General features: G+C 36.3%; 1 long non-coding RNA gene across 1 annotated transcript in view; it reads left to right on the forward strand.

Moving 5' to 3' along the window:
* The window catches only part of LOC107986816 (uncharacterized), a 63,027-nt gene that overhangs the window by 16,007 nt on the left and 33,355 nt on the right, over positions 1–13,665 (forward strand). The gene's annotated exons all lie outside the window — the stretch shown is intronic.

The following is a 13,665-nucleotide window of genomic DNA, read 5'->3' on the forward strand; positions in this document are numbered from 1 at the left end:
GAACTAAACACTTGGTGAATTCCAATTAAGTGTTAGGATTATAACAAGAGTAAGGGTCTGAAAATAATTATTTGTATTATTTTGATTCTTAGCTGTTAATTTTGAATATTGCTAAAGTTAGTAGGCTGATATTAATATCCAATATTCAATTTTATCATAGAATATAGGCTGAGTTTCAACTTCAAACTTTCATATCCTTAATAGAAACTTTTAATTTGGTGTGACTTTTGAGGAAGAATTAGTACTGTCTTGTTGGTATCTGCATTTGGCACTCCCCTCTAATTCTGTTCTAACCTTATTGCAATTACACTCTTCAAGTGCTGGATTATAGACTATCCAGAAAATACGAGACTGGATTTCTAATCATGAGGCAATGAAAGAACAATACTTTTTAGCAAAACCATGAGGAGAATGAAAAAGTGAATGCAAGGCCTGATCATTTTGGGGTTGTGAACATCATTGCTTTATACCATCCAACTAAATGTGTGGCATTAGGCAAACTGTTTTCCTTTTAGAACTTCCATAAAGAAAATTTCAAAGTTCAACTCCATGATTGTTTTGGAGATTTTTGTAAAAGACTTTGATCCCCTTTTAATTATAGGGCTAAACATGTGTTAATGAGATCAATAAGAGTTCAAAAATTTGAGCTAAGTTTAATTATACCATAAAACATGATTATATTTCTTTTGAAATAAATGAATTTGAAAATTATAGAACAATGCCTACAAAATTGTTTTATGATATGCCAAAACCATCAAATGTTTTAAAAAATAAATGGCTGCAATTACTTCATGAGTTCTAAAAGATCCAATTATATTAATGATAATACTTATTTTTAATAGAAAGAAAAATTATTCCTACTGCAGATTATCCATGGTTATAAAGTTTAAGGAAAAGTTACACATATTTCTGACTAATTTGAAAAATTCAACACCTCTATGTACTTATGAGAGACATATTTCATTTATATAAATAAATCTTAGGACTTTATTTCATTTCTTTTTATTCCTTTGTTGGTTCATGCATCAGCAATTGTGATGGTAGAGCAACAGTACTAAGCACTACATGTGTACCTGTTGGAAGATAAGGTCTTTGGTGATTTGCTGCTTTGAATAGGCTGAATTATATTGTTATTTTGTATTATATTCAAGAGGAAAAGAGTGTTTGAAAGTGTTCTGTTGTGTGTAGAGCTCAAGATACTGCAATAATCTTAGATGAAACTTTTTTATATTGAGACTTTCAAATACTTGCATACATATCCTATCTTTTACTTTTAGAAATCCTCTTGGAGACAATGTGACTCTTCATTGTCTAATAAATATTTACTTTAGATTATGAGTAAGCTATCTTCTTTTGTGCTTACAAAAAATAAATACAACAATAGCAGAAACTTTTCTTTTTACTCCTCCTCATCTTCCTCCTCCTCTTTCCTCTTTTGGTGTATTACAGTCTACCCAGATTCCTTGAAATGGAAAGCCTTGATGGATTCCCTTGGAGTGTTTCCCTCCAGACTGTGTTTTGTAGAAAGTCTGAGGAGACCAAACCTAGCTATTTCTATGGAGGAGTATTCACAGCTGACAGATGGTAATATTAGTTTGTGCACAGTCTTCCTATCCTATGACTTTTGTGTTGACATGCTTTTAGAATTTTCTCTCTCGTCTCCATTTCAACTTCATTTATTCTAGGTTGTTTCTCATTTCCTCTAACGGGATTACCACAAGTCATTCTTAATTTATTTCTCTGAACTTATGATTCTTTTCATTTACCCCATCCTTTATAATTTACCATTCTTAAATAGTTGATCCATTTACATATTTATTTGTTCATTGTTTATTCATTTGCTTAATCATTCGCTATCTTTTCATACATCAAACTTTTGTCAAATACCTTCTATATGCCATAAATTCTGGTAGAGAGCTGAAATTATAACTCAGTTGCCATTTTCATGAGGTTTGGTAATTCATTTTTCTACTCAAATCTTAACTAGCTCCCATTTCTCCTAATTCCTCAAGTCAATTTGACTGCTTGTATTTCAATAAAGGCTGTCCACATTATAGCCCTTGGGTCTACCAACTCATTCAGTTATTATAGTTATTAGGTATGTGCTTATTAAACACTGATGACATTTAAAGTATTGCTTTCTGATATTCTCTTTCAATATCATTCAAAATGTGTTTTTTACAGTTGCCAAATAAAATACAGAATGCCCAGTTAGTTTGAATTTCAAGATAAGCAACAAATAAATTTTTAGTATAAGAGTGTTTATAAAATGTTTGGGACATATTTATATTCAAAAATTGTTTGTTAATAAAATTTAACTGGGAAGTCTGTATTTTCACTTTTTAAATCTGGCAAGGAACATTTTGGAACTTTGCTTCTTTGTATGAAATTGTGTGATTCACTCAGAATTTCTTGGTAATAATACAATATTCTTAGCACTTTATATATCTTAACTCAAGTAATCCTCAAATATATCCAATGCTGTAAGAATAGTATTATCTCACTTTAAACATAAGTGTGTTGAGATGCAGATATCAAGGAACTTGCCCACTCACCAAGCTAGTAAGTGTCAGTACTGGGTACGAGCCAATGACTTCGTATCCAGTGTTTTAACCATTACATATGATAGCTTCTGTGGAGCAACATACCTTTTACAGATGCCTAAGATTGCTCCAGAAAATAGTACTTGATAGTCACACTTCATATGGCACTTTCATAAATATGAACTCCTAGGAATGTAAGCACATTTTAAAAGTATTGACATATTCATTTTGCCCGGGTATTCATAGACCCTGAGTGCATGGACACCAGAAATATTATTAGGCCTCCTCTTCTCTGTTCCCTGACTGCTCTGGAAAGAAATCAGTATTCCACAAAGCTGGCCTGTAAGCTGCAGACTGGCTTGTTCCAATGACTACTCTCCAGACTTCGAGATATTAAAGCATGTACTCATTCTGTGTCCTGCAGTTACACCTTCTGAGACCTACTGAAAGGAATTCCATCCTTCTTTCCCATGTAAAATCAAACTAAGTCCGCAGATCAGTCCACCCCTCTGTATTTTTGACATGTGCCAGGTTATTCTGCAATGATCAGAGACTGTTCTCTTATCTCTCTCATTTGGCTAAGGATCCTTTCTCTTCTTCTCCACCGGAGTCCTTGAACTAGGCATTAGTAAAGCTTATTGTACTTAACCAATCTCTGCGCATCTGTGTCTCCAGAAAAGGTGTTATTGGCTGACTTATGTCCCCAACAAATGTATATTGAAGTCCTTACCCCTAGAAATATAGAATATAGTCATATTTGGATATAAAGTCTTTTAGGAGGTGTTTAAGGTTAAAATGAGGTCTAGGGTGGACGGTCATTTAATATGATAGGGGTGCCCTTATCAGAAGAGAAAATTTGTACGTGCAGAGAAATAGCAGACATGCACTCACAGAGAGATGACCAAGTGAATACTTAGTGAGAAGGGAGTCATCTGCAAGGCAGTGAGAGGGGCCTGAGAAAAAATCAAACCTGCTGAACGCTTGATCTCAAATTTTTAACCTCCAGAACTGTGAGAAAATAAATGTCTGTTGTTTGAACCACCCAGTCTGTGGTATTTTGTTTTGGCAACTCTAGCAAACTAATACATGAGGCTCATTTGTTTAGGAGAAAAAAAAATCTGATTCTGACTCTACCTCTGAAAATAGACATGAAACTAATGCAAACTAATATTCCTATGAACATGTCGTTCTCCTTTGAACCCACAAAGTTCAAAGTATTCAAATTTTAGCTGTCCTCCACTACCACAGATATTGCTCTTACTGGCTGTTACCCATGCCACTAGTTTACTATTTTTTGAGCCCCTGTTATGCGCTAAGTGATGAGCTAGTGATTTTCATATGATATCTCAACTAATCCTCATGACAACTCAGGGAGTTAGATATTATGACAGATGATACTTGCAGTCAAGACACAAAAGCATAAGAACCATTATTTATTGTTGTTTCATAGGTAGAACATTGCCATTCAATTCCGTTTCAGGTTACTTAGGTCAGGCTTAGTATCTTAATTTACCCACAACCTGAGAACATGATTGGTCCTTCATACATGCTGCTGAGTGATTACTTGATTGAATTGGGAGAGGAAGCTAGAAGGGGTAGAAATCCACTATCTTCTTGACAATGCATCTGCCCACATCATACTTCCTGTGGACTCTGTGCTATCTTGATAGAGAGGTTGATACCATCCATGCACTCAAATATATGATATCAGAATAATCATTTAGCTCATTTAAACTTGACTCAGGAGATAACTTTTTTCCTCCATTTGTATAAATTTAAGGGGCACAAGTGTAGTTTTGTTATGCTGATGTATTGCATAGTGATGAAGTTTAGACTTTTAGTATAACCATCACCCAATAATATATATTGTACCCATTAAGTTATTTCTCATCCTTCACCCACCTCCCAACCCCTCACCATTCCAAGTCTTCAAAGTCTATTATTCCAAACCCTATGTCCATGTATACATATCATTTAGCTCCTACTTATAAATTATCACTTATAAGTGAGAACATGTGATATTTGCCTTTCTGTTTCTGAGTTTTCACTTAAGATAATGGCCTCTAATTCTATCCATGTTTCTGCAAAATATATGATTTCATTTCATTCTTTTCCATGGCTGAATGGTATTCCATTGTGTATGTGTGTATATATATATATACATATATATATACACACACCTGATATATATATATACACCTATATATATATATATACCTGAGATTTTATATATATATATATATATATATATATATATGTCTGATCATCTGTTGATCCAGTTAGGATACTAAGATCTGGAGCAAGACAAGGATGCCCATGTGGATCTGGGTATTTACCCAAAGGAAAATAAATCATTATATTAAAAACATAACTGCACTCATAGGAAAAAGTTTTTGAAGTTTTGATCTAAAATTCCATATCCATATGTGAGAAGTTTGGGTAGTAGAAAGAACATTTGGCCAGAGGCCATATAATCTGGTTTATAGTACTGTTCCTATTCTGTAATAAAAGGAGCAATGTAGTGTTTTCAATCGGAATATTCAGAGTTATAATAAGGGCAATCATTGGAAGCTTTACTTGCTTCATAGGACTGCTGAAAGAGTCAGTAAAGCAATAGGGATCTGTTTTGAAACATTTGCTTCCTGAAACCTAGAACAATGTAGGCTCTCTTCCTTTGCTCCTTTCCAAATTTTACTATTTTTCCCATTCCTTCCACAACCTTGGAGTGACTGCTGGATTAGGTGGCAGACTAGACCGATTGACAATTCTCTGTTTTATTACATATAATAGGCAATATTTTATTTTTTGTTATGGTAAGAACACAACATGAGATAAACGATCTTAATAAATTTCTAAGCGTACAATACCTTACTGTTGACTATAGGTACAATGTTGTACAACAGTTCTATAGAGTTATTAATCTTTTAAAAAATTTATAATGAATGAAATTGATTGGTTCCCAGTTCTGAAGGCTGGGAAGTCTCAGTACAAAGGTACCAGCATCTGGCAAAGGCCTTCTTCTGTATCATTCCAGGGCAGAAAACAACAGGACAATAGAGATAGCAAGAGGGTACTGAACTTGCCCTTTTATAATGCACAAATCCCACTCATAAAGGTGGAGTTCTTATGGCCTAATCACCTCCTAAAAGTCCTACCTCTTAATACTTTTACAAAGGAAATTAAATTTCAACATGAGTTTTGGAGGGGACAAATATGCAAACCATAGCAATGTATAGTCAGCATGGAAATAAATTTCCAGTAAATTATAAGAAGCAGTCCATTGAGATCTGAAAATAATTCCTTCCTAGGAATAAAGGAAGACCAAGGAAAAAACATATTCCACATCTACTACATATAGAATAAACAGAAAATTACCCAAGATATCACTTTGGGGTAGGGGGGAATCTGTCCCCTCAATTATTTATCCTTTGAATTATGAACAATCCAATTACACTCTTTAAGTCGCTTTTAAATATACAATTAAGTTATTATTGACTATAGTCACCCTGCTGATAGGTGAGAGGATATCTCATTGTAGTTTTGATTTGCATTTTGCCAATGATCAATGATCTTGAGCACGTTTTCTTATCCGTTTGCCATTTTATGTCTTCTTTTGAGAAATGTCTATTATCCATTTAAAAATTGGATTATTAGCTTTTTCCTGTAGAGCTGTTCCAGCTCTTTATATATTCTGGTTATTAATCCCTTGTCAGATTGGTGGTTTGCAAATATTTTCTTCTATTCTGTAGGTTGTCTCTTCACTTTGTTGTTTCCTTTGCTTTTCAAATTGATGTCATCCCATTTTCCCATTTGTCCTTTTTTTTTTTGAGACAGAGCCTCACTCTGTGGGCCAGGCGGGAGTGCAATGGCACCATCGCAGCTCACTGCAACCTCCGTCTCCCAGGTTCAAGTGATTCTCCTGTTTCAGCCTCCTAAGTAGCTGGGATTACAGGCACATGCCACCACGTCCAGTCCAGCTAATTTTTTGTATTTTTAGTAGAGACTAGGTTTTGCCATGTTGGCCAGGCTGGTCTTGAACTTTTGACCTCAGGTAATACCCCCACCTCAGCCTCCCAAAGTGCTGGGATTACAGGCATGAGCCACCCCACCTGGCCGTATTTGTCCATTTTTGCTTTGGTTGTCTATGATGGTAGAATATTACTCAAGAAATTTTTGCTCAGATCAATGTCCTGGAGATTTTCCCCAATGTTTTCATTTAGTAGTTACATAGCTTGAGTCCTTAGATTTACTTCTTTAATTCATTTTGATTTGATTTTTGTGTATGGCAAGAGATAGGGGTCTAGATTTATTCTTCTGCATATGAATATCCAATTTTCCCAGCCCCATTTATTGAAGAGATTGTCTTTTCCCCAGTGTATGTTCTTGGCACTTTTGTCAAAAATTAATTCAGTGTATGTGTGTGGATTTGTTTCTGGGTTCTCCATTCTGCTCCATTGGTTTATGTGTCTCTTTTTATCCCTGTACCATGCTATAGAATAATTTGAAATCAGTTAATCTGATTCCTCCAGTTTTGATCTTTTTGCTTAGGATAGCTTTGTTTATTCTGGGACTTTTGTGGATACATATAAATTTTAGATTTTTTTTTTCTATTTCTGTGAAGAATGTCATTGGTATTTTGATGGGAATTGCATTGAATCTGTAGATTTCTTTGTGTAGTATGGATGTTTTAACAATATTGATTCTTCTAATACATAAACATGGAATATCCATTTTTTGGTGTCATCTTCAATTTCCTGCATAAATATTTTATAGTTTTCATTGTAGAGATCTTTTACTTCTTTGTTTAATTTCTAAGTATTTCATTTTATATGTGAATATCTTAATGGGATTACTTTTTAAATTTGTTTTTCACATTGTTCACTGTTGGTATATAGAAATGCTATTGATTTTTGTATGTTGATTTTTTTTATTATACTTTAAGTTTTAGGGTACATGTGCACATTGTGCAGGTTAGTTACATATGTATACATGTGCCATGCTGGTGTGCTGCACCCACTAACTCGTCATCTAGCATTAGGTATATCTCCCGATGCTATCCCTCCCCCCTCCCGCTGTATGTTGATTTTGTATCCTGCAACTTTACAGAATTTATCAGTTCTAATAGTTTTTTGTTGGAGTCTTTAATTTTTTCCAAATATAAAATCATATCATCTGCAAACAAGAATAATTTGACATCTTCCTTTGCAATTTTGATGTCCTTTGTATCTTTCTCTTGTCTGGTTGCTCTAGCTAGAGCTTCCAGTACCATGTTTAATAACAGTGGTGACAGTGGGCATTCTCATCTTGTTCCATGTCATAGAAGAATGGCTTTCAGTCCACCACCACTATGACTGCACTGGGTCAGACCTGAAGCCAGCATAGCACTGGGTCTCATGCAAGGCCTGCTGTAACCACTCCTGGCTACTGCCTATGTTCACTCAAGGTCCTTGGGCTCTACCATCAGCAGGTGGCAAAGCCAGCCAGGTCTGTGTCCTTCCTTTCAGGATGGTAAGGTGCCCCAGGCTCCAGCTGGGTCCAGAGGTGCCATCTAGGAGTCAAGGACTAGAGTCAAGAATGTTAGAAGTCTACCTGGTGTTCTATTGTATTGGGCTGAGCTGGCACTTAAACCACAAGATTTAGTCCTCACTCTTGCCTTCCATTTCTAAAGGCAGAGAGCCTCATCCTGTAGCTACCACCACCCCCAGGCCATGAGGAATACTGCCAAACTACCAGTCAATGTTTCCTTAAGGCCCGTGGGCTCTTAAGTTAGCTTGTGGTGAATTCTTTCTGGCCTGGGACTCACCTTTTAGGGCAGTGGGCTCCCCTCTGGCCCAGGGCAGGTACAGAAATGCCATCCAAAAATCAAGTCCTAGAGTTGAGGACCTGAAGAGCCTGCTTGGTTCTCTGCCTCACTGTGGTCGTGCTGTTACCTATGGAACAAGACAAACTCTCCTTTACTTTTTCCTCTCCTTATCTCAAGCACAAGGAGTTTTGCCCCATAACCACCAGAGCTGGTAATGTGCTGAGTCTCACCTGAAGCCAGCAAGTCTCAGAGGCTCACCCCAGGCCCTTGATATAGCACCTGGGTATCAATGCTGATATTCAGGGCCCAATGGCACTTTAGTTAGCAGGTGATGAATGCTCTCAGGACTGGGTCCTTTCCTTCAAGACGGTGGGTTCCCTTCTGGCCAGAGTGTGTCTAGAAATGTCGAGCTAGGGCCTGGAATGGAGGCCTCACGACTCTAACCCTATGCTGCTGTGACTGAGCTGGTATCCAGCATGCAAGGCCAAGTCCTCCCAACTCTTCCCTCTCCTCTCTTCATGCAGAAGGAAGGGATCTCTTTTGGAGCTGTGGGCTGTGCTGCCTGAGGTTAGAGTAGGGGTGATGCCAGCACTCCCTTGGCTGCCCAAGCTTGTGTCTCAGTATGTTGTCTTCCCGCTCTATCTAATGTCATTGGGCCTAGTTCAACACCAGGACTTGCCTAAGAGTTGCAGTCCTTATGGCCTAGATTACCTTTCCAATTTACTTGGAGATTCAGAGTACTGTAGCCCATGGTGGCGAGGTTTGCAAGCACTCAAGTTTTGACCACTGGGGATTCTTGATTCCCCTCTGGCTAGGGCTGTCTTTTGCTCCCTCTGTGAGTGGACATTAGCTAATTTGGTTTGGTTTTTCTTTCTGCTTTAACAGGACAGCACTGACTTCAATGCTTTACAATTGCTGTGCTCTCCCTCCCCGAGCACCCAGAGATGCCCTCTGCACCAAGCCACCACTGCCAGGGTAGGGGTGGGGTGGCAATGGCTATTCAGGATTGTTTTTTCTATCTATCCCAGTGCCTCTTTCAGTGAATATAAAGTTAAAACCAGGCACTATGAATGCTCACCTGATTTTTGGTTCTTATGAAGGTGTTTTTTTCTATGTAGATATTTGCTGAGGGAATGATTGGTAGAGTCTTCTATTCTGCCATCTTGCTTCACTTCTTATTTATCTTTCTTGACTGAAATTTTACGCCCATTGATGAGTAACTCCTCATTTTCTCCTCCTTCCAGCCCCTAGTAACCAACATTCCACTCTAATTCTAAAGAGTAGAATTAGTCTTTCTGATTCTAAAGAGTGGAATTAGTCTTTCTAATTCTAAAGAGTGGGATACTTAAATTCTAACAACTTAAGTATTTTAGATACCTCATATAAGTGGGATCATGCAGTATTTGTCTTCCTGTGACTGGCTTACTAAACTTAGCATAATGTCCTTAAGGAAATAAACTAAATGTTTATTGATAGAAAAATATATAAAGAAAACATAATTTATACATACAATAGTATATTATTTAACCTTTAAAAAAGAAGGAAATTCTGCAATATGCATCAACATGGACGATATTTTATTTTTAATAGAACCTTCAAGTTTTCTATTAAAAATAGTGAATAAAAGGGCTTTTTTGATATTCTAAAGTCACTCTATTTTGGTGGCAGCTGTTATATCTTGGAATTTGTTGTCAGGATTTAACTGTTTTTCTAACAGCAAGGCATAGTGATGCTGGAATAATAGCTAACGATTATTGAACAAGTATGTACCGGGCACTAAACTGAGACTTTTACATACATTTTAATTGCTTAATTCTGACATCAGTGGTATGAGGTAGATACCATTCTAAATATGAGAAAATGGAAAATTCACAGGCTAAGAAACTTGCCAAAAGTTATTTAACTACTAACTCTCGAGCCAGGATTTGAACACTAGCAGTCTGACTCTGTGCCCTTACGCATGGCTTTATTTTGGAGAAATAGAAGTTTGCCAGAAAATAAAAGTAATAAAGCATCCCAGGCAGAAAAGAGAATGTGAAAAACAATAAAATGCATTTAAAGCATCTGTTCTCCCATTTCATGTACATTATTATACCCTCAGCATCTGGCATGCTGCTTGGCACAAAGTAGGTATTTAATAAATACTTATGAATTTAATAAATGAAAAGTGGAGACTTCAATTATTAAATGCTCAGGAGGCCATAAGAAAACTGATATATACAGAACTTAGAACATGACTGGAAAAATATAAAGAAGTCAGTATACAATATTAAATGAATAAAGATTTCTAGATAAAATATTATATAAAGCAAGCTCATTCATTCATTTATTCATACATTCTTTAAAAATTTATTGACCATTTGCCTTATACAAAATATTTAAGAATCAGAGATATATAAATAATGGAGCTACACTCTGCATTAGAGGCATAGACTTTAAATATTTTAAGCAAGTCCTTTGAAGAATAAAGTCACAGAAATTATTGCATTTACTGACAGCATTTACAAAAATAAAAGCTATTAAGCTGTTACTTAGACAATAAAATAAAGCAATTATCTCTGTTGACATACATCAGCATTAAAAATTAAGGGAATTTTAGCATTTTTTACACCAATAAAATTACCATAATTTATTATGATATTTGCATGTCAGAAATCATTATCTTTTTAATAACATAGGTGAATAGAATTCAGTATAATTTGGTGAGAAAGTGACATACATGCATAGAAATCAATAGAAAAGTTGTTTTTTGGCTGGTCAGTGACACTTCCTTGCCATTATATGAGCATTGATGAGATTGAAGTGTATGTACATTAGAAAGGAAACACAGCAATAAACAAATAGCAATATTTTGTGTATGTGCAAAAGCAACATAAAATTTTGTGTCAAGGGCTAGATATTGAGTAGAAAGCTATCCATCCTTGGCAAAAATACAAATTTAAGAAAGCAACAAAGTGGAATAAAATAAAGAGGAACTTATATTAATAAAAAGTGAAAGTGAATTTTATTGCCACATGAATTCTTTGTTTTACTAATTATTCCTGTGTTCTGCATAACATTGAATAAATCATTACTGGCACTTTTCTAGCATTTAAACTTATATTAATCAATGTAATACTTGCAAGCAGTATTTATTGTTAGTGAGAAAATTGTGGGATTACTGAGAAATTGTGGAATTAACAATTTAATGAGTGAGAAATTGTGGGATCAACCCTTTGAAAAGGAATAGAAGAAAGCAGAAATGGAGAAGAAGAAGTCAGGCTATGACACAGGTCCAATGACAGTGTCTGCTGACCCCAAGGAGTGCTCAGGAGCTAGAATGGCCCTTAAGAGTCATCTGTTCCAAGTTTGGTTGAGATGGCCAAGCCCATCTTCAACGTCAGTTGTTCATTAAATGTGAGCTGCCTGGAAAGCTGCTTTACTTTGGGAGAAATGGCTTTCTGCATCTGAAACAATTCCTGAAGAGGCTGACAGCCAAAGGCAGTCTGACAACAGCACTTCCAGCAGTGAGGGCAAGAAGTTTGTCACTGAAGGGGCCACACATCCATTCCTACCATAGTCACCTATCAAATAACATAAAGAACACTTCAGAAAAAGGAGTAGTCTCCTTTTCCACCTTTCTGTATTACCAGTGCTGCTACCCATAGCTAATCTTATTCTATGGTTTCTATTTTGATATTTTCTAGTGGTTAGTCCTTAAGCACAGGATTACATAGCTTTACCTATATTTCTTCAGTATTTCTTCAGTCATAATCAGGTTCCATGCTTGTAAACATGGGTTTATGTTGGAGGAATGAAAGTTTACCAGAAAATCAAAATCATAAAACATTCTAGGAAAAAGAGAGAGGGTGAATGATATGGTTTGGTTCTATGTCCCCACCCAAATCTCATCTTGTAGCTCTCATAATTCCAACGTATTGTGGGAGGGACCCGGTGGGAGATGAGTGAATCACGAGGGTCTTTCCCATGTTGGTCTCGTTATCTGATGGCTTTATAAGGCAGAGTTTCCCTGCACAAGCTCTCTCTTTGCCTGCCATCATCCATGTAAGATGTGACTTGCTCCTCCTTGCCTTCCACCATGATGTGAGGCTTCCCCAGCCATGTGGAACTGTGAGTTCTCCATTAAACCTGTTTCCTTTGTAAATTGCCCAGTCTCAGGTATGTCTTTATCAGCAGTGTGAAAATGGGCTAATACAGTAAACAACAATGAGATGCATTTTAAACATCAGTTTTCCCCTTCTTTTATGTGCATTATTGCATCCTCAGTGCTTGAATACTGCCTGGCACAGAGATGGTATTTAATAAACATTTATTGACTTCTTCTGTGAAAGATGAGGATTTGGCTTACTTTTCTTACCCCTGCTCTCAAATATTTATAGCTTAATTATTATGTTTAATTTGTCTATTGATCTCTTCTCTAATTCAAATGCTATGTTTACACCATTTTTTAAAAATTGTATGTGCCCTCAACTGCTAACAGCATCACTCACTTCCTGATTCATACAATAAGGACTCTCATGAGTTTCCTTTACCTTTTCCTGCTTTCTGCTTCCCAGCATCTATCTTCTATAGCTTTACTTTTATATTGTTAAATTTATTGACATTTATATTCTGTTTCTGAAACCACAACCATGCTTTTCCTCCCTTGCGTCTCAGGATCAAATGTGATAATGGCTACAAACTGTTCAAATAAATGAAACTTTTGAAACCACTGGTTTAAGACTACCATCTCAGAGGTTCTAGTGGCTAAATATCATCTGCTGAGTTGTCAGCTGAGGACTGTGGCCTGGACTTACCCTGTAGTTTTGTTTTATTTGGCATTGGTAATATTTTATACATTTGAGTCAGTATTTAAAAGCTAGATGATTTTAGGTTTACTCTTAAAGAGCAAGTGAACAGTATTTATCCTGTTTCTTCATTGTCAAATAACGCGCTAGGATTAGATTTCTTTTCTATAGGAACAATGTCACATACTTGGGTTGCTCCTAGGAAGAACGTTTCTAGCATCTTTGTACCCTTTGCGTCATAATGCTAGCATGTAAAGTTTCCCTTGTCCTAGAATTTTCTCCCCCTGGAGGTCTTCTATTTCCTGCTCCAGTCTGGATTACATACTCTCCATGTCTGCTGCATTTGAGGATGCTCCTTTTTTATCTGGAACTCCTGCTATTCCAAGTCTGTATCTCCTGGAATGTTCTTTTATCTGCTTCTTTTCATTCACATTTTCTGTCCACACTTTCTTTCCTGCACTTTAAAATATATTATTGCTTTTTCATTCTGGTAATATTATTATAAATCCATAAGAATGCTTTGCCATTCCCT

Source organism: Homo sapiens, chromosome 7 (genome assembly GCF_000001405.40).
Source record: "Homo sapiens chromosome 7, GRCh38.p14 Primary Assembly".
NCBI lineage: Eukaryota > Metazoa > Chordata > Mammalia > Primates > Hominidae > Homo > Homo sapiens.